This window comes from Homo sapiens, chromosome 15 (genome assembly GCF_000001405.40).
Source record: "Homo sapiens chromosome 15, GRCh38.p14 Primary Assembly".
NCBI lineage: Eukaryota > Metazoa > Chordata > Mammalia > Primates > Hominidae > Homo > Homo sapiens.
The window spans coordinates 40,783,024-40,804,853 of NC_000015.10; the positions used below are offsets into that span (position 1 = coordinate 40,783,024).

A 21,830-nucleotide genomic window follows, 5' to 3' on the forward strand; every position below is an offset into this window, starting at 1 on the left:
AAAAAGAACAATATTAAGGGAAAGGAGGTGCTAGCTTAAGACAGTGTCATCTTTGCAATATATCATCTTTACTTTTTAGGTCCCTTATCATTCGTCTTTTCTTTCTTTTGCTCTCTTTGCCTGCTTTATTGTGCCTCCAGCCTCATTCCTTTACTGAACATATTTTATATTTCAGGGCCCCTGTTTGCTTTTTTTCAATAAGTAAAACAATACCAAAAACATTATAAAGATGTTCTTTCTCAATCTCCCCAGCCCTCTGACATCAAGGTTCATTAACACATATAAAAGCACCTACACACACTGACAGGAGTCTGTTGGGTGTTTGTTCCTGGCCTCTGGGCCCCTCCTCTCTGATCCTATCTCCACCCTCTCTCTGGGATGGGTGAGAGGAAGGGAGGGGGAGGCGGTCCATGTCCCAGTATCTATGGCATCACCTGCAACACTACCTTCAAGATGAACTTCCTCAGGACTAGGACTAGTAGGCTTGCCCCAGGGATGTAGGGGGGTTTTGTGGAAGATGTTTTCTTTTGTATCATGGGGCTCTTTTAAAGTGGTTTAGGCTGGGCATGGTGGCTCACACCTCTAATCCCATCGCTGTGGGAGGCCGAGGTGGGTGGATCACTTGAGGTCTGGAGTTTGAGACCAGCCTGGCCAACATGGTGAAACTTGTATCTACTAAAAATATAAAAATTAGCCGGGTGTGGTGGTGCATGCTTGTAATCTCAGCTATGGGGGAAGCTGAGGCAGAAGAATCACTTGATTCCGGGGGGCAGAGGCTTCAGTGAGCTGAGATCGTGTCACTGTACCCCAGCCTGGGTGACAGAGTAAGGCTCTGTCTCAAAAAAATAAAATAAAAGTTTGTATGTTCCTTGTTATAAATCTGAGAGGGGGAGTAGAAGTGAGTGTGAAGAAGAAGGAGCAGGCTGGGTGTGGTGGCTCACGCCTGTAATCCCAGCATTTTGGGAGGCTGAGGCGGGCGAATCAGTTGAGGTCAGGAATTCGAGACCAGCCTGGCCAACGTGGTAAAACCCCGTCTCTACCAAAAATACAAAAATTAGCTGGGCGTGGTGGCACACGCCTGTAGTCCCAGCTACTAGGGAGGCTGAGGCAGGAACCTGGGAGGCGGAGGTTGCAGTGAGCCGAGATTGCACCACTGCACTCCAGCCTGGGCGACAAAAATAAAATTCTGTCTCAAAAAAAAAAAGAAGGAGCAGTAAGAAAGCAAGACAGAAGGGGTGTCCAGCAGTGGCATCTCCTTCATTTTCTTTCCTTTTTTTGAGAGAATGCTTTCTGAATTTTATTCTAAGGGAATGATAAATATTCTTTTGTGTTTCATAATTTATTTTGAATGTTCTATATTGGAATTTTGGTTTTTCACTGTAATAGGAAAATAAAATTATTCAAGCTGAAAAATCCACTCATATTGTCAAATATGCTTTACATATATTAACTTATTTAATTCTTAAAGCCCCTATGAGGTAGAAATTATTATCCTCCTCATTTTACAAATGAGGAAACTGTGACATAAGGGTTAATTATGATACCCAAAATCCATTCAATGAAAAGCCATACAAACATTACTTTAGGCAAAAACTATTCTACTCCAGCCAATTACCACAGAAAAAACAGTGGACACCACCCCACCCATGCCATCAAAGGCCAGGTAGAGAGCATAGACTTCCATTCTTGCTACCCTAAACCTCTGCCAGAGTGGTGTCAGATAAAGCCAAACAGGGAGGCTAGGACTTTCATCCCCAACAGATGGAAATACAAAAATATAAAAATATCTCTGGGCCGGGCGTGTTGGCTTACACATGTAATCCCAGCACTCTGGGAGGCTGAGGCGGGCAGATCACCTGAGGTCAGGGGTTGGAGACCAGCTTGGCCAACATGGTGAAACCCCGTCGCTACTAAAAATACAAAAATTAGCTGGGCATGGTGGTGGGAGCCTGTAATCCCAGCTACTCAGGAGGCTGAGGCAGGACAATCGCTTGAACCCAGGAGGCGGAGCTTGCAGTGAGCCGAGATCATGCCATTGCACTCCAGCCTGGGAGGGAAGAGTGAAAGTCCATAACAACAACAACAACAAAACAACAACAACAACAACATCTCTGAAAGAAAAGGGATATCCCCGAAAAAGCTTCCAGTCTCAGTATCGTTTATTATTAAATAATCCTACCTTATAAACAGCTGAAAGGGTTATAGCTGATATTTACTTTCTATAATAAGCTTGTATTACTTTTCAAGTGATACAAGAAAAAAACTGGTAAGAAACAAAAACAAAATTGTTTAGCTTCTTTCCACAATTCTAAGCTAGGAGGCAGCATGGTTCACTAAAAGAGGGCAAGTTCTGGAGTCTGGCAGATGTATTTTCAAATTCGGAATCTTCTACATACTGATAGCATGACCTTGGGCAAATTACTGAAGCTCACACAGCCTTAGGGACTTCAACATCAAACTGAGAAGAATAAATCCTACACACAGGGCTGCTGGAAGGATTAAAGAAAATGATCCGTGTAAGCACCTGACAAAAACTAGGTGCTTCCTACAAGTTCCCAAACCTTTCTCTCCTCTACTTCTGGAAGAGGGTAAACTGTGACACCAGGCCAGCAGGATGCCAATTGGACAGGAATTCAGGAATGGACCCTGGTCCACAGTGGATGCAGGTCAACTCCATTTGAATTCTCTAGGTGGACAGGGCTGGATTTGAGTCTGCTGTGGGGTAGATCTAAAATTCAATCCTGGGTTCACTCCCAGGGTCTCTGAAATACTCTTATTCAAGGGGTAGAAGGGATGGGTAGGTAGCCTGAGATCTTCCAGAGTGGCCTTGAATCAAAACCCAGCTGGCCTAAGAATGTTGGTCAAGTATGTCTGTCTTGATTAACTAGTTATTACTATATTTAACTGTTAAACCTGCCCTGGGCAGGGCCCATCCCTTGGTTTTAGCCTGGAAGACCAGTTTTGACTTTGAACCGGTTGGCCTAGAATTTGGTGCTTTGTACTACAAACTAGATTCCCAGCTTTGTCCAGCCCTCCTGGAGTTGACTGCTGCCTGAAGAATTTCTCACCATGTAAACACAACTCTCCTAAAGCAGGCCTTTGAAAAACCTTCCGGTCTCAATATTGTTTATTATTAAATAATCCTACCTTATGAACAGCTCAAAAGGCTAGATTCAGGGTAAAAATGTACAACAATTATTTTTTATAACTATCACAAAATTGGGAAGGAGAGGAACTTTCAGAAGAACAAGAAATAGAAGGGCCATCCTCTATAATCTTACTCCTTATGATATAGGATAAACAGGACTGCTGAAAGCCAGGTATCCCGGGTTGGAAGCTCCTCCAGAAACTGACTCTGGCCCAGGTCCAGTGGCTCACGCCTGTAATCCCAGCATTTTGGGAAGGTGAGGCGGGAGGATCGCTTGAGCCCAGGAGTTTGAGACCACCCTGGGCAACAGAGCAAGACCCCATCTCTAAAAAGAGAAAGAAAGAAACTGTGTCTGCAGGTGCTGGGATCACTGAGGCAGAGCTGAAGCAGCCACAGCAAGGTGTGGCTTTTCACTTGCAGCTTTTCTTCTTTACCTATAGGTTTCCCCTAAATCCCCTGGTCTCTCTAGCGCTTAGAAACACTTGCATTTCTGAGACTTCACAAAGGATCCAGGTGACAGTTCAAATGTTTCCAACCCAAAGTTCCCCATCCAGATCATGGCTTTTCAGAGGAGAAGCTCTTTCTAAGGCCCAGCCTCAGAAGGACGAAGATCTCAGATAAATGTAAGCTCCGTGAGTACTTCGAACTGCAATTTGCAGAAACTTGGTCTTTCTCCTGATGGCTTTCTAAAAACCTCACTGTCTACCACCCTTTTTCCATCCTAGACTGGTTGAGTTTAATCTGTTTTTGATGTCTCAGGATCATCATCCAGAACATCAACTACTGAATAGTATGACACGTTCTACGGAGAGTGGTGTCAGGCTTTTCATTTGCTTCCCTAGGTGGCGAGGATTTTAAATTCTACTCTTTTAATAGTTTTCCTATTACTTCCTTAGTTGGCCTCTACTAGACTGCCAGATGCCAGCCCTTCCCTAGAAGTGCTGCTCATCTGCTGCTTCTTTTCTGGTATGGTCTAGAGAAACAGATAAGCTGGTTATAACTATACCTTAAATGAGAGCATAAGGGTATAGGAAGGTATGGGGGTTCCCCTTACAAATAAAGTGGATGTACTTAGGAGGCAGGGAGTTCTGCTTCTCCCCAGGGTCCAGAACAGTGAACAGCACCTGGCATTCAGCAGGCACACAATAAATATCTGTTGCATGAATTGGCAAACATTCATTTGTTCTCAACCAAAACACAATCGGAAACCTCAACTATGTCAATTACTTCAGACCCACTGAGGAGCAGAAGGAAGTAGGTGCCATCCAGACCCTAGGAGATCTGACCACTATTTCACAATTTCTCCTCCTCCCTGCTAACACCTCCTCTTAAAAAACCAAGTCTGGGAAAGGGAAGGAATTACTAAAGCAGACTGCCAGGATAACCACAGTGGGAACTAAATGTTACCCCCTCATTGCCCACATCAGACAATGAATAATAAATTGGCAGCCACCCAGCCCTTCCCCGGAAGCTCTATAACCGGTTCTACCACTTTCAGCAACCTGAACCCAGAGCAGGGGAGGAGGGCTGGAAGCTGGGTCTCTAGCCACCTCCACTGGGTTTTGCCGCAAGCACACAGCAGGGCCTCTGACATCCACCTGCCTCCAGTTTCACCTCTTGATGGGGGAAGGAACTCCTGACTCACCCAAAAAAGCTAAGTGCTAAGGGATCCAATAAATACAAAATAGCCATCATTAACTTAAAAGAAAGGTGCCCTACAAAGAAGGGATCATTATTTTTTAAAAGGTTGCTGTCCTTTCTTGTAATAAAGCTTGGAGCCAGGTAAGTAAGTGGTACAAGTAAAGAGGCCGAGGCTGATAGGTTAGACTTAGATAAGGAGGACACAGAGGGAGGCAGCTCTATGTGACAACAAGCACTGAATGGACAAAGCATCCCGGGTAAATCAGCTGGAAACCCACTGCCAGGCCCAGTTCCAGTCACAGGCACAGTGAGTGATAACAGCTGGGGCAGCCACGTCTCCCCAAGCCCGGAGAGGCAGATGCCTCCCCATCCCCTCACTAGCAGGAACCCCAGAGGTATATGACTGCCTGATGTCACACGCAGGAAGCAAACAACAGAGCTCTGGGCACCTGCCTAAAAGTCCCCTCTGGCCAGGCATGGTGGCTGATGCCTGTAATCCTAACACTTTGGTAGGCCAAAGCAAGAGGATCGCCTGAAGCCAGGAGTTCAAGATCAGCATGGGCAACAAAGCGAACCCCACCTCTACAAAAAATTTAAAAATGGGCCGGGCACGGTGGCTCACGCCTGTAATCCCAGCACTTTGGGAGGCCGAGGTGGGTGGATCATGAGGTCAGGAGATCGAGACCATCCTGGCTAACACGGTGAAACCCCGTCTCTACTAAAAATACAAGAAATTAGCCGGGCATGGTGGCGGGCGCCTGTAGTCCCAGCTACTCGGGAGGCTGAGGCAGGAGAATGGCATGAACCCGGGAGGCGGAGCTTGCAGTGAGCCGAGATCATGCCACTGCACTCCAGCCTGGGCCACAGAGCGAGACTCTGTCTCAAAAAAAAAAAAAAAAAATTTTTTTTTAAATGAGCCAGGCATGGTGGCATGCACCTGTAGTCCCAGCTACTTGGGTGGGGCTGGGAAGGATTATTTGAGTCCACGAGTTTGAGGCTGCATGCCACTGCATGCCAGCCTGGGCAACAGAGTGAGATCCATCTCTTTAAATAAACATAAATAAATAAAAATAAAAGAGAAGTTCCCTGTGCCTGAAAGATTGATCCTTTCATTCCTTACAGCCTGTGACCCCTATTGGGACAGCACTACAGAGAAGTCCCCAAATGCCTGGGCACTGTACAACCTATGGGCTGCTCCCAAGGCTTGGCACAAGCAGAGAGCTGGCCAACCCCAGACAGCCCCCTCAGCTCAATGCTCCCAAAACATGGGCCTGCTGGTGGTACCAAGATAATACCAGAGAACCTGGGCCTCACACTGACATCCCTCTCAGGCTGATAGCCATGGCCCATGGTTCAGTCTCAGAACAGGGGCCTGTGCCACCTAGAACAGCTGGGACCACACACGGAGCCTGGCCTGCTTCTCCCCAAATGATGGCCCTTGTACGCCCTTTGGGCTCTGGTTCCTCAGCCAATCCTGAGGCCACTCTTTAGCTCCTCCCATCCCCCCGGATCTCATCTCCAGGTCCCCCTTCCTTCACTCCCCCACAGTACTCCCTCCTATCCTGCTCTCCTCGGTCCACTTCCCCAAACCAGCCCACTTGAAACCCAGTCTACAGCCCTCTTTCTCCTCCTCAGATACCACCCTGCTCTCTGGCCCACCTCCTCCCTTTTAACCTTATCCTAACCACCGCTATATTAGGCTCAGACCCCAAAAGCCTTTCCTACCTTCTCTCAGCTTGTAGATTCTCATGCCCAGATCTGCCAGAAACGTCTCCCCACTGCCTGCTGTCACTCTTAACTCCTAGAGGCCTGGGTCTCTAGCCCCAGAACCACTTCCTCTGCCCAGTCTCTGCCCTTTCCCAGGGGGTAGAACTCCTTCCCTCTGGGCCCTGGTACTTCCTACACCTCATTCATTTCTGTCTTCCCTTAATGCATTGTTTCCTTTATAAACAAATTTGTATTAGTAAAAAGAAATTAGTTGATTTCGGAAGTCTGAGGCAGGAGAATGGCGTGAACCCGGGAGGCGCATCTTGCAGTGAGCCGAGATTGCGCCACTGCACTCCAGCCTGGGAGACAGAGACAGACTGTCTCAAAAAAAAAAAAAAAAAAAAAAAAAAAAGAAAAGAAAAGAAATGAGTTGATTTAGTGAAAATAACTAAATAACAATACTTACGAACAGCAAAAATAGGGAAAGCGCTATGCAAATGGAAAACATTTTGAATGCCACTAACTTCAAGGAAATGGAAACTGTGCTATGGTAGTTTTAACACAAATCTTAACACAGTTCCTTAAGCTGTTCAGAGCAGCTTACTACCTGCTGGGTTTACCCAAGTCCCAGGCAGGTAAAATCTCTATCTGTGTTACAGATGGGGCTGCGAGACTCTCTGGGGCCCACAGACCCGTCTCCTGTTGCTCTAATTGGTCCTGAAGTGTGGGTCACGGAAAAAGTTCTCAAAGAGGAGTAGAAAATTCAGGTGTGGGCCGGGCGCAGAGGCTCACGCCTGTAATACAAACACTTTGGGAGGCTGAGGCGGGTGGATCACTTGAGGTCAGGAGTTTGAGATCAGCCTGGCCAACATGGTGAAACCCCGTCTCTACTAAAAATATAAAAATCAGCTGGGCATGGTGGCGCATCACATGCCTGTAATCCCAGCTACTTGGGAAGCTGAGGTATGAGAATCACTTGAACCCAGGAGGCGGAGGTTGCAGTGAGCCAAGATCGTGCCACTGCACTCCAGCCTGGGCGACACAGCGAGACTCTCTTTCCAAATAAAAATAAAATAAAAATAAAATAAGGTGGCAGTACCAGCCACCTTATGCTGGGCGAATCACTTAAATTCTTGGAGTCTTTGTTTCCACATCTAGGAATTGGTGCCAGTAGTCCTTGACCACCTCACAGGCTTGCTTTCAAGGTCTCATCAAATGAGATAATTTATGTGAAAGCACTTTGGTGTCATAGAAATGTGAGGTATTATCTTGAATGTTAATGAATCGCTTACAGCTTACAAACACAAATGAATCATTCCTTTTGACTTAACAGGCACCTAAGTAACTTCAAAAATCCAGAGCTTCAGCCAGACAGCTTTGGTGAAGAGTGATACTGAGGGGACTTGGAGATACTGAGAGGACTTAGAGACCAGCTGCTAGATCCACCCAGAGCTGGTCAGGCCCTTGGTGAAGAACAACTATCTTCAAGTGAAACCAGGCTTGGAAAAAATAACTTAAAATAAATAAAAAAAAATAGGCCGGGTGCGGTGACTCATGCCTGTAATCCTAGCACTTTTGGAGGCCAAGGTGGGAGGATCCCTTGAGCCCAGGAGTTTGAGATCAGCCTGGACAATGTAGGGAGACCCTGCCTCTAAAAAACCATAATAAATAAATAAACAAATAAATAATGTGGTAATATATTGAGGCTACAAAAAAAATTTTAAAAAGCTGGGTGCGGTGGCTCATGACTGTAATCTCAGCACTTTGGGAGGCCAAGGCAGGCGATCACCTGAGGTGAGAAGTTTTGAGACCAGCCTGGCCAACATGGTGAAACCCCATCTCTACTAAAAATACAAAAATTAACTGGGTATGGTGGCGTGTGCCTGTAGACCCAGCTACTCGGGAGGCTGAGGGAGAAGAATTGCTTGAACCTGGGAGGGGGAGGTTGCAGTGAGCCAAGATCGCACCACTGCACACCAGCCAGGGTGACAGAGTGACTCCATCTCAAAAAACTAAAATAAAATAAAATAAAAAACAACAGGCAGCTGGTCGCAGTGGCTCACACCTGTAATCCCAGCACTTTGGGAGGCTGAGGTGGGCGGATCACCTGAGGTCAGGAGTTCGACACTAGCCTGGCCAACATGGTGAAATCCTGTCTCTACTAAAAATACAAAAATTAGCTGGGTGTGGTGGCACGCGCCTGTAATCCCAGCTACTGGGGAGGCTGAGGCAGGAGAATCGCTTGAACTCAGGAGGCGGAGGTTGCAGTGAGCCAAGATCACGCCATTGCACTCCAGCCTGGGCAACAAGAGCGAAACTCCATCTGAAAAAAACAAAACAAAACAAAACAAACAGGCTCAGTACCCAACCTCAAGGCCTCAGCACCTGGTCTAGATATAAGAGGTTCTGGGAAAAGCCCCCTTTGGAGACAGCAGATTACATCAGGCACACTTCAGATCCAGAAATGGCCCCCAGATGCTCACAGAATCAAGTGTAACCACCCTAGGGCCTAGAGGCCCAAACACACATTTCTCAGATTCATCTCCTGCGACCTCCTCAGCAAACCCTAGGCCATGCCCATTCCCTGTCATGCTAGGCACTCCACATCTGCATGCCCCGGTTGCTCCTTCAAGCCCTTGTCTGTCCTCTGTCCTCAAAAACCAAGTCTTCTTAAATTTTTAAGAAACAATGTTGATGCACCACCTTCTAGGGTATAAAAGAAATATGTAGCTAGTGGTACCAAGATAATAGCTAGCTTAAAGATAAAATAGCCTTTTCCTTGCAGTAATTTATATGCTATAATATAACCTCCCTCCCAGAAAATGTCAATATTAAGTTTCCCTGGTAGTTTTCCTGATAAATAGACTTAAGCTTTGAGTCTTGAAAAACAATCAAAATGCATTTTCAAACATCTGGCTTCCCCAGGTAATTACCTGCCAAGATGAATGAGCTACACACCCTTCAAAGGGCTTCAAATGAAAGGTAAGGCTGCTACAGACAGAAGAGAAAGACAGGCTGGACATGCTGACTCATGCCTGTAATCCTGGCACTTTGGGAGGCCGAGGCAGGAGGACTGCTTGAGCCCAGGAGTTCGAGACCAGCCTGGGCAACATAGGGAGACCCCATCTCCACAAAATATTTTTCTAAAAATTATCCAGGCGTGGTGGTGCACTCCTGTGGTCCCAGCCTGGAGGACAGAGTGAGACCCCCAGAAATACACATGTGGGCTGCACAAAAGTGGAAAGGATCTTGATTGGAGCTCTAGTCTCAGGCTGATGCTCACTCGCTGGATGGTCGTGGAAAATTTTGTAACCTCTCTGAACCTCCATTCTCCAGTCTACAAAATAAGACAGTAAATGACCATGAAGATCCCTTCTTTTTTTTTTTTTTTTTTTTGAGATGGTCTCACTTGTCACCCAGGCTGGAGTGCATGGCACGATCTCAGCTCACTGCAAGCTCTGCCTCCGGGTTCACGCCATTCTCTTGCCTCAGCCTCCCGAGTAGCTGGGACTACAGGCACCCGCCACCACGCCTGGCTAATTTTTTTGTATTTTTAGTAGAGACGGGGTTTCACCATGTTAGCCAGGATGGTCTCGATCTCCTGACCTCGTGATCTGCCCGCCTCGGCCTCCCAAAGTGCTGGGATTACAGGCGTGAGCACCGTGCCCAGCCCATGAAGATCCCTTCTAACTGCTGCAATATATTCTTTTCTCCCTTCAAGATCTTGCATAAAAACACCAGTCATATAAATCATGTCTTCCTCTTTATTCTTACAGCATTTTCTTATATACTCTTACTGAACCTCATTCATTGCACCTCAGCGTTCACTGAGTATATAACTGTGTGAGCTGTCAGAAGTCAGAAGTGGTATCTTACTCAGCTCTAAGTCCTACCATGCTCAAACAGTACCTTGTCCATGGTGAGAAACTCCATTCATTTGTTGATGTGAACTAAATGTTGAACTCTGGTGATCCTCAATTTTGTTCTACTTGATCCTCCACCGCCTTCCTACCCTGACCACTGCCTCAATTGAGAATCACTGATTTGCTGTTAGGTGACTCAGCACTAATGTGTCAGGAATGGAGTGAGTAAAGAAGGGGTCCAGGTGGAGGGCAGCCTTGGACACAAGCTGGGGGCGATTCATATTTGACTTTCCAAGCTTACAGTGTAAGGAAGATGGACTCACAATGAAAACAGCAAGAACTGACTCATAGTGAGCGCTCACTCTATGCCAGGCACTGTGCCAAATGCTTACGTGGATCAAGCCTCAAAACAATGCGATCAAGGACAGACTATCATCATCCTCGTTTTGCAGACGAGGAAACCAAGGTACAGAGCGGTTAAATATTTGCTCCAGGTCACAAACTAGGTCATGGGGCAAGTATCCAGGCAATCTGACTCCAAAGTCCACTTTCTTAACTATAACTGCTAATAAGTACAAAGGTGATTATGAAGGCACATTTACAATTCTAACATCTGTATCATGATTTCCATCTATTCTCAACACATGGTAGATGCAACAAGCAACAATTCTTAGCCTTACACATTAAAGATAGTTATAAAAACTGTTACTTTCAATCCCAGCACTTTGGGAGGCCGAGGCGGGCGGATCACAAGGTGAGGAGTTTGAGACCAGCCTGACCAATATGGTGAAATCCCATCTCTACTAAAAATACAAAAATTAGCCAGGCATGGTGGTGCATGCCTATAATCCTAGCTACTCAGGAGGCTGAAGCAGGAGATCTGCTTGAACCCAGGAGGCAGAGGTTGCAGTGAGCTGAGATTGTGCCACTGCACTCCAGCCTGGGGGATAGAATGAGACTCCATCTCAGAAAAAAAAACAAAAACAAGAACAAAACCTGTTACTTTCGGCTGGGCACAGTGGCTCATGCCTGTAATCCCAGCACTTTGGGAGGCCAAGGCCAGAGGATCACTTGAGCCCAGGAGTTCAAGACCAGTCTGGGCAACATGGTGAGACCCCATCTCTACAAAAAATACAAAAATTACCCTGGCATGGTGGTGCACACCTGTAAGCCGAGCTACTCAGGAGGCTGAGGTGGGAGGATCACCTGAGCCCAGGAAGTCAAGGCTGCAGTGAGCTATGATTGCACCACTGTACTTTGGCTGGGGCAAAGCGAGACCATCTTTAAAAAAACAAAAAACAAAAATAAAAACGGTTACTCTCTTTATTAAATTTATTTATTTATTTATTTTTTGAGACGGAGTCTTGCTCTGTCGCCCAGGCTGGAGTGCAGTGGCACGATCTCGGCTCACTGAAACCTCTGCCTTCCGGGTTCAAGTGATTCTCCTGCCTCAGCCTCCTGAGTAGCTGGGATTATAGGCGCCTGCCACCAAGCCCAGCTAATTTTTTGTATTTTTAGTAGAGATGGGGTTTCGTCGTGTTGGCCAGGCTGGTCTCGAACTCCTGACCTCAGGTGAGCCCCCCGCCTCGGCCTCCCAAAGTGCTCGGATTACAGGCATGAGCCACCGTAAGTTTATTTTTAATATATATTTTTAGCCGACTCTTGCTCCTCTCTGGAAAAACTGTTATTTTCTGCACCAACTTCCTCTCTAGGAAATCATCAGCTGATTAAAAAACATAAACTTCTCGGCTGGGCACAGTGGCTCACGCCTGTGATCCCAACACTTTAGGAGGCCGAGGCGGGAGGATTGCTTCCATGACCACGCCCCTGCACTCCAGCCTGGGCGGGAGAGGGAGATGGTGTCTCAAAAAAAAGGAAGGAAGGGAGGAAGGGGAGGAAGGGATGGAAGGGAGGGGGGAGGGAAGGAAGAAAAATATGAATTTCTAGAAGAACTGCCAACGTTAGCCTCTGCATTTCAAAATGATGGGCCCCAGGAGCAAGAGACAGAAAAGATGGAAACAAACAAGATGTGGGGGCCCTAAAACCGCTTCTCTTCACATCTGTTTCCTTAGCACCAGGCTCAGAGTTTGACACACAATAGGCACTTAATAAAAATGCTGTTTATGGGAAATGTTTCAACCCTCCTCTAAAACACTCATGGAGAAAAGGAAGGGAAATGAAAAAGAACCAGGCAGAACACTATCAAGTTTAATTTAATAAAGGTTCAGTGTGGGCTGGGCGTGGTGGCTCACACCTGTAATCCCAGCACTTTGGGAGGCTGAGCCAGGCGGATCACAAGGTCAGGAGTTCAAGACAAGCCTGGCCAACATGGTGAAACCCCGTCTCTACTAAAAATACAAAAATTAGCTGGGCGTGGTGGTGGGCACCTGTAGTCCCAGGTTGTGAGGCTGAGGCAGGAGAATCGCTTGAACCCGAAAGGCAGAGGTTGCAGTGAGCCAAGATCGTGCCACTGCACTCCAGCCTGGGCGACAGAGTGAGACTCTGTCTCAAAAAATAAAATAAAATAGGTTCAGTGAGTGCCTGCTCTGGGCAAGGCACCAAGCGCACAGCATTGCTGCTTTCTAGAGTCAGGGCTGCAAGTGGAAAGATGGAAGACTTCCTACCTACCGGGTGGGAATATAGGTCAGTATGACCTTTCTGAAATGCAATTCTGCATTATAAACCAAAAGCTTGTAAATATATTTACTCTCAGTCTAATAATTTCACTACATCATAAAATATTACTGCCCAAGAAAATAAGAATGCATGTTCATCAATCACTCAACAAAGATTTATTAAGCATCTACCAAGGGCGAGGCATTGTTCTAGGTGCTGGAGACATAGTAGTAAACAAAACAGAGGAAGTCCTTTCCTTCCTGGATTTTTTACATTCTAATGGGAGAGCAATGGTAAGCAAATGGGCATGTACTATAAGGTGTAGTAGTGAGATCTACTTCGAAATAGCAGATAAGGGTGTGGGGCTAGCTCATTTAAATAGGTAGTCAGGAAAAGCCTCTCTGAGCAGATGATATTTGAATGGAAACCTGAATTAGGTGTGGGAGATAGATAACTGCCCAGAGAAAGAATTTTCTAGCAGAAGGATTAGCAAGTATAAAGGCCCTGAAAATCAGGAATGTGTTAGGTGAGTTTGAAAAAAATCACAGGAGGCCCACTTCACACTTATTAGGATGGTTATTATCCAAAGAAAACAGAAAATTTAAGTGTGGAAAGGATGTGGAGAAAATGGAACTCCTGTGTATTGCTGGTGGGAAGGTTAAATGGCACAGCCATTGTGGAAGCCGGTATGTCAGTTCCTCAAAACATTAAACATAGAATTACCATATGATCTAGCAGTTCTCCTTCTGGGTATATATCAAAAGAACTGTTTTTGTTTTTGTGACCCAATCTCACTCTGTCACCAAGGCTGGAGTGGAGTGGTTCAATTCACTATAGCTTTGACCCCCTGGGCTAAAGCAATCCTCCCTCCTCAGCCTCCCGAGTAAAGTAGCTGGGACTACGGGCGTGCGCCACCACAATGAGCTAATTTTTTCTTTTTTTTTCCTTTGTAGAGACAGGGTTTTGCCGTGTTGCTCAGGCTGATCTCAAGCTCCTAGGCTCAAGCAATCCTCCTGCCTCAGTCTCCCAAAGTGCTGGGATTACAGGCATTATCCACCACACTAGAACAAGAAATTAGAGTAGGGACTCTGCCAGGGATCGTAGCTCATGCCTGTAATCCTAGCACTTTGGGAAGCCAAAGCAGAAGGATAACTTCAGGCCGGGAGTTTGAGACCAGTCTGGGCAACATAGCAAAACCCCATCTCTACAAAAAATTTAAAAATCAGCTGGGCATGATGGTACATGCCTATTGTCCTAGCTACTCAGGAGACTGAAGTGGGACGACTGCTTGGGCCCAGGAGGTTGAGGCTGCAGTGAGCTGTGATCGCACAATTTCACTCCAGCCTGGGCAATAGAGCGAGACCCTGTTTCATCAACCACAAAAAATTCATAAAGTAGGGACTCAAACAGATTTCTTTCTTTTTTTTTTTTTGAGATGGAGTTTCGCTCTTATTGCCCAGGCTGGAGTGCAATGGCACAATCTTGGCTCACTGCAACCTCCGCCTCTGGGTTCAAGCGATTCTCCTGCCTCAGCCTCCCTAGCAGCTGGGATTACAGGCACCCGCCACCATGCCCAGCTAATTTTTGTATTTTAGTAGAGCCGGGATTTCACTATGTTGGCCAAGCTGGTCTTGAACTCCTGACCTTGGGTGATGCACCTGCCTCAGCCTCCCAAAGTGCTGGGATTACAGGTGTAAGCCACCGCACCTGGCCGATCTCTTTTTTTTTTTTTTTTTTTTTTGAGATGGAGTCTTGCTCTATCGCCCAGGCTGGAGGGCAGTAGCACAATCTCGGCTCACTGCAACCTCCGCCTCCTGGGTTCAAGCAATTCTCCCGCCTCACCCCCCTGGGTAGGTGGGATTACAGGCACCCACCACCACGCCTGGCTAGTTTTTCTATTTTTAGTAGAGACAGGGTTTCATCATGTTGGCAAGGCTGGTCTTGAACTCCTGACTTCAGGCAATCCACCACCCTTGGCCTCCCAAAGTGCTGGGATTACAGGTATGAGCCACCACACCTGGCTCAAACAAATTTCTAACCCACATTCATACTAGCATTACTCACAATAGTCAAAAGCTGGAAACAACCAAAATATTCATCAACAGATGAATGGATAAACAAAATGTGGTATATACATAAAATGGAATATTATTCAACCTTAAAAAGAAAGGAAACTCTGACACATGCTACAACATGGCTGAACCTTGAAAGCATGATGTTAATTAAGCGAAATAAGCCTGACACAAAAGGACAAATATTGCATGATTCCATTTATATGAGGTTCATAGAATAGTCAAATTCATATAGAGAAAGAAAGTAGAAGAGTGGTTCACAGGAGCTGGGGGGAGGAGGGAACAGGGAGTCACTCTTTGTTAAGTACAGAGTTTCAGATTGAAATGATGGAAAAGTTGTAGAGATGGATGGTGGTGATGGCTGCACAACAATGTAAATGTACTTAATGCCAGTGAATCCTTTAATCAAAAAGGATTAAAATGGTAAGCAGTAAATTTTGCGTTAAATACATTATTTATCACAATGTTGTAGGAAATATCAGGAGGACTGATGTGGCTGGAGCACAGTCAGCAAAGGGGAGAGTGGTGGCAGGGAACGTGCAGGACAGGCAGTAAGGGCCGCGTGGGCCAGGGGAAGGACTTCAGATTTCATTCTAAGACTGAGAGAAGCCACTGGGAGTTGTGACCAGAGGTGACAAAATCTGATTTACATTATAAAGGCTCACTCTGGCTGCTGTGTGAAAAGGATCAAGAACAGAAATAGGAAAAGGATTAGACGGTCACTGCAGTCACTCAGGTAATTCCTGAGATTACTTTGGAATCTCTCTTGAAGGTTTGCAAACAGCGTTAACTCACGACTTAATCCTTCATTCTGGCAGCCGTGGTGCCCCGCCTTGTGAGTGTGTGTGTAAGAATTTGGCGCTTGCTGGCTGGGCGCGGTGGCTCACGCCTGTAATCCCAGCACTTTGGGAGGCTGAGGCGGGCGGATCACGAGGTGAGGAGATAGAGACCATCCTGGCTAACACGGTGAAACCCCGTGTCTACTAAAAATACAAAAAAAATTAGCCATGGTGGTGTGGTGGCGGGCGCCTGTAGTCCCAGCTACTCGGGAGACTGAGGCAGGAGAATGGTGTGAACCCGGGAGGCAGAGCTTGCAGTGAGCCGAGATCGTGCCACTGCACTCCAGCCTGAGCGACAGAGCGAGACTCCATCTCAAAAAAAAAAAAAAAAAAAAAAGAATTTGGTGCTCGCTGCTTCAGGCTCTAGCAGACTGATCCTCTCCCTAGGAGCACTTCCACCCGAAACCCAGGTCCTCAACTTAAGGCTTTCCCACAAAAAAAAAAACCACACCATGCCCTGCCTGTATCCTCTAGGGCTGGATGGGGAACAAGGAGAATGGCTGATTGTTAAATCCCCATGAAAGGTGGTGTTTAGCTCACTTTTGGCCTGCTAGGTTTGTTGTGATATGAGGGAAGAACATTTGCAGAAAGGCTAGTTCTGTGTACAGAAAGGCAGAGTTGAACTTGTCCCTAACTTGAAGAGGGATGAGCAGATTTTTCTGTAAAGGCCCCCGGTTGAGAGTAAAAATTTTAGGGAGCTACATATAGTCTTTGTTGTATATTCTCCTTTGTTGTTTTGTGTTTGTTTCTGTTGCTGGATCATATTACTTCTATATTTAATTACCATATGAATCATATGGTAATTGTTGGGTCATATGGTAATTCCATGTTTAATTTTTTGAGGACTCACCATACCATCTTAACATTATCTGCACCACCAACAATGCACAGGGCTCCAATTTCTCTGCATCCTGACCAACATTTATTTCTCTCTCTCTCTTTTTACTTTTTATTTTTAGAGACAAGGTCTCGCTTTGTCATCCAGGCTGGAGTGCAGTGGCACAATCATAGCGCACTGTAGCCTGGAACTCCTGGGCTCAAGCAATCCTCCCACATTAGCCTCTCCATGAGCCATCACACCAGGGTTTTTTTTTTGTTGTTGTTGTTGTTTTTGTCTTCATAATAGCTATCTTAATGGGTGTGAAGTGGTATCACAACATGTTTTTGTTTGTTTGTTTTTTGAGATGGAGTCTTGCTCCATCACCCAGCCTGGAGTGCAGTGGCACGATTTCGGCTCACTGCAACCTCCGCCTCCTGGGTTCCAGCAATTCTCCTGCCTCCTCGAGTACATGAGACTACAGGCAACTGCCACTACGCCCAGCTAATTTTTGTATTTTTAGTAGAGACGGGGTTTCACCATGTTGGGCAGGCTGGTCTTGAACTACTGACCTCAGGTGATCCACCTGCCTCGGCCTCCCAAAGTGCTGGGATTACAGGCGTGTGCCACCGCACCTGGCCTCAACATGGTTTTGATCTGCATTTACCTAATGACTAGTGAAGTTGAGCATCTTTTCATGTGTTTATTGACCATTTGTACATCATCTTTGGGGAAATGTCTATTGAGATTGTCTTTTTCTTTTTTTTTTTTTAATTTTTTTACAGACAGAGTTTCACTCTGTCACCCAGGCTGGAGCATGGTGGCGTGATCAGAGCTCACTGTAACTTCAAACTCCTGGCTTGCCCATTTTTTAACCGAGTTGTTTTTTTGGTTGTTGAGCTGTGTTTTTTTTTCTACAATCATTTAAACATGTAAAACCCATTCTTAGCACATAAGCCATTAAAAAAAAAAAAGGTCAGCTGGGCACGGTGGCTCACGCCTGTAATCCCAGCACTTTGGTCAGGAGTTCAAGACCAGCCAGGCCAAGAGAGTGAAACCACATCTCCACTAAAAATATAAAAATTAGCCAGGCGTGGTGGCAGGAGCCTGTAATCTCGGCTACTCCGGAGACTGAAGCAGAGAATTGCTTGAACCTGGGAGGCAGAGGTTATAGTGAGCCGAGATTGCGCCACCATGCTCCAGCCTGGGCGACAGCGAGACTCCGTCTCAAAAAAAAAAAAAAAAAGGTCATGGGCCATTTGGCCCCTCAAACTGTAGTTTGCCCTACTCCTTCATTTTACATTTGGGGAAAGTCAGGTCCTGAGAGACGCAGTGACTGCCCTTGGTCTCCTGATTCTCAAGTAAAGTCGTTGCAGTGGTCTCTTTAGCTACTACTTCATTCATTCAACAAATACTTATTGAGAACCTACTATGTGCCAGTCACCAGGTAAGGGGCTGCTACAGAAGAGCATGAATCAGATCTGGTCCTCAGAAGTAGGAGTGCAGAGGGGATTAAGGCATGAGACAAATAATCACACAGATAAATACATAATTGCAAACTGAAATAAGTGCTAGAAAAAAGAAAAACCAGCTGCCATGAAATAGAATATAAGGCAAGGCTTCTCTGAGGATGCCATTTCGACTGAGTTCTGAAGGACAAGTAAAAGCAACCCAGATTAGCAGAAGGGGAGGAAGAGCATTCCTGGCAGAGGAAAATGTATGAATGAGCTAAGAAATTGTTGAGTATTGGCTGGGTGCGGTGGCTCACGCCTGCAATCCCAGCACTTTGGGAGGCCGAGGTGGGCGGATCACGAGGTCAGGAGATCAAGACCATCCTGTGAATGGTGAAACCCCGTCTCTACTAAAAATACAAAAAATTAGCCGGGCGTGGTGGCGGGCGCCTGTAGTCCCAGCTACTCAGGAGGCTGAGACGGGAGAATGGCGTGAACCTGGGAGGCGGAGCTTGCAGCCACTGCACTCCAGCCTGGGTGACAGAGCGAGACTCCGTCTCAAAAAAAAAAAAAAAAAAAAGAAAAGAAAAGAAATTCTATTGAGTATTTTATTAGAAGTGCTAAATAGGGTTTTCAGGGAGTAGCAAGATCATTCCATTTTCTGTGAGGAGAATTGGAGAGGCTCAATAGATCAGAATGGAATAGGCTGAAAGCAGAAAAAAGTTGGCAGGCTCCTCTAAACATTCAGCTGAGTGGATGGGGGCCTGGGCTGGAGCAGTAGTGGTGGAGACAGAGAGGGTGAACAGGTTTGGGGATTATTTGGGAGGCTGACTCATCAGGACCCGGTGATGTTCTAGATGGCAGGGGTGAGAGGATAGGGAGGTACTGAGAATGACTCCAGGTTCCTAGCTTGAATGGATGGATGGTGGTGCCACAAGATGGGGAAATCCAAGGAAGGAGCAGGTTTGGAGAGAGAATTGAAAGAGTTCAATTTTTTTTTTTTTTTTTTTCGAGACAGATTCTAGCTCCGTCACCCAGGCTGGAGTGCAGTGGCTTGATCTCAGCTCACTGCAACCTCCGCCTCCCAGGTTCAAGCGATTCTCCTGCCTCAGCCTCCCAGTAGCTGGGACTACAGGCACGTGCCACCGCGTCTGGCTAGTTTTTATATTTTTAGTAGAGATAGGATTTCACCCTGTTGGCCAGGCTGTCTAAAACTCCTGACCTCAGGTGATCTGCCTGCCTGGGCCTCTCGAAGTGCTGGGATTACAGACATGAGCCACTGCGCCTGGCCAATTTTTGGATGTAGTAAGATTTAGACCGCTGTGAAACATCCACATGGAGGGATCAAACAGGCAGATAGATACACAGATTTGAGATTCAGAGAAGTAGTCTGAACACAAGTTAAATTTGGTGGTGGTGCTCATCACTACCACTGAACCGCGCTGGACAGGGCCAGGGAGCCTTAGCAGAAGGAGCAGAGGCCTGAGCTGGACATCAGGGCATCAGGGCATCAGGGCATCAGGGTTCTAGTCCCAATTCTGCCACTAACCACCTTCTCCGAGCTGCAGTTTCGCCATCAGTAACACAGGGAGCTTGGCCTCCATTAGGGCTTCTTTGACTTTTGGATTAAAATTCCCTCCTCTGGCCAGGCGTGGTAGCTCATGCCTATAACCCAAACACTTTTCAGAGGCCAAGGCGGGAGGACTGCTTGAACCCAGGAGTTCAAGACCAACCTGGCCAACATGGTGGAACCCGATCTCTACAAAAATACAAAAATTAGCCAGGCATGGCGGTGCACACCTGTGGTCCCAGCTACTTTTGAGGCTGAGGTGGGAGGATTGCTTGAGCCCAGGAGGCAGAGTTTGCAGTGAGCAGTAATCATGCCACTGACTCCAGCGTGGGTAACACAGAGAGACCCTGGGTCAAAAAAAAAAAAAAGAAAAAAAAAGTCCTCCTCTCCTCCAGAATAAATACAAAAAAAAAAAAAATCACGCATGATTTTCAGAGGTTCCTTCACCCAGTTCCTGGAGCCTTTCTGTAGAGGGCAAATTGAGAACTCCTAGGCTATTTGGACAACCAGTTTAGGAGTTCTTCCTTGTATACACTTTAAATATTTGTTTGTCCTCTAGGTTGCCCTATGGCAGCAACCTAGGTTGTCTATGACAGGTATTAAACCATGGTGCGGGGACACCAGGGCCTAGGTTTTTCTTGCTTTCTACCAAAAAGTGTGTTGCCATGAAGCTAGCCAGTGTATCCAAAGTGTAAATGGGAGTAAGTGCTAGAAAGGAGAATGGCTGCTATGAAAAGAAAAATAGGTAAGGCCTCTTTGAGGGTGCCACCTACTTATGCTCCAAAATAGACTGTATGTATTAATATATACATTTGCTTTCTTGGAATGCCCTGCCTCCATCTCCACATGTCCAAACTCTGCCCATTCTTCAAGGCCCCAAATACCTTCTCTCCTGCCTTTATTCCTTCTCTCAAACTAATAGCAATCTCAGCCTACACTGAACATCCACAGCACTTTGTACCCCTCTTAAGGAACTCACCATGTCTCCCTTGTATGCGTGAATCTTGCCCCCCCATTAAAGGCAGGAGCAGCACCTGTTACCCTTTATAGAGTGGCTTCACACCTATCCCTTATCTCATCTGAGTTAGAACTGGATCCCAGCCACCACTGCCCAGCTCAGACCTTGGTCTCTTGCCTAGACACCAGCCCCATCTGACCCCCTAGTGGCAGCTCTTCCATTCCTCCCACCCCCACCCATTTTCATTATGCACACTAGTGTTGAATTTTCTTTTCTTTTTTAAGAGTGGCAGGGTCTCACCCTGTCATCCAGGCTGGAATACAGTGGCAAAATCATAGCTCACTGAAACTTCCCAGGCTCAAGTGATCCTCCCACCTCAGCCTCCCATGTAGCGGGGACTACAGGTGCGTAACACCCTGCCCAGCTTTTTTTTTTATATATAGAGAGAGAGACAGGCTCTCACTACGTTTCCCAGGCTGGTCTCAAACTCCTGGCCTCAAGCGTTCCTTCCACCTTGGCCTCCCAAAGTGCTGGGATTGCAGGTGTGAGCCATCACACTCAGTCAAATACTTTCTTTAAAATCCAATTATGGGCAGGGCACAGTGGCTCATGCCTGCAATCCCAGCACTCTGGGAGACCAGGCAGGAGGATAGCTTGAACCCAGGAGTTCGACACCAGCCTGGGCAATATAGCTGGACCCCGTCTCTGGAAAAAAAAAAAAAGCAAAAACAAACACAAAACAAATTAGCCAGGCATGATGATGCACACCTGCAGTCCCAACTACATGAGAGGCTGAGGTGGGATCACTTGAGCCCAGGAAGTCGAGGCTGCAGTGAGCTGTGATTGTGCCACTGCATTCCAGCCTGAATGACAGTGAGATCTTTTCTCAAAAAATAGACATAAAAATAAAAAAAAAATAAAATCTGATTATGTAACTTCTCTAATTAATAGAGAATGACTTCCAACTGACTTCCTCAGGAGTTCTCAACTTCAGGGTTAGAAACTCTAGATTTCAGCCGGGCGCGGTGGCTCACGCCTGTAATCCCAGCACTTTGGGAGGCCAAGGCCGGCAGATCACTTGAGGTCAGGAGTTCAAGACCAGCCTGACCAACATGGTGAAACCCTGTCTCTGATAAAAACACAAAAAT

General features: G+C 46.5%; 1 protein-coding gene across 2 annotated transcripts in view, besides 3 other annotated features; it reads right to left on the minus strand.

Annotated features, from left to right (window-relative positions):
• Positions 1-21,830, minus strand: part of DNAJC17 (DnaJ heat shock protein family (Hsp40) member C17) — a 42,313-nt gene that overhangs the window by 17,863 nt on the left and 2,620 nt on the right. The window lies entirely within an intron of this gene.
• Positions 9,292-10,491: an enhancer, noted in NCBI's record as "MED14-independent group 3 enhancer chr15:41084513-41085712 (GRCh37/hg19 assembly coordinates)". NCBI's record gives its function as "activates an origin of replication core promoter dependent on BRD2, BRD4, P300/CBP and CDK7 cofactors, and independent of MED14, by STARR-seq in HCT116 cells {active_cell/tissue: HCT116}" and the evidence as "EXISTENCE:reporter gene assay evidence [ECO:0000049][PMID:35650434]".
• Positions 10,568-10,862: a silencer, noted in NCBI's record as "tiled region #2594; K562 Repressive DNase unmatched - State 8:EnhW". NCBI's record gives its function as "represses a minimal TATA promoter and a strong SV40 promoter by Sharpr-MPRA in K562 cells {active_cell/tissue: K562}" and the evidence as "EXISTENCE:reporter gene assay evidence [ECO:0000049][PMID:27701403]".
• Positions 16,700-17,241: an enhancer, noted in NCBI's record as "NANOG hESC enhancer chr15:41091921-41092462 (GRCh37/hg19 assembly coordinates)". NCBI's record gives its function as "activates a minimal SCP1, AML or CMV promoter by ChIP-STARR-seq in naive H9 embryonic stem cells {active_cell/tissue: H9 hESC(naive)}" and the evidence as "EXISTENCE:reporter gene assay evidence [ECO:0000049][PMID:30033119]".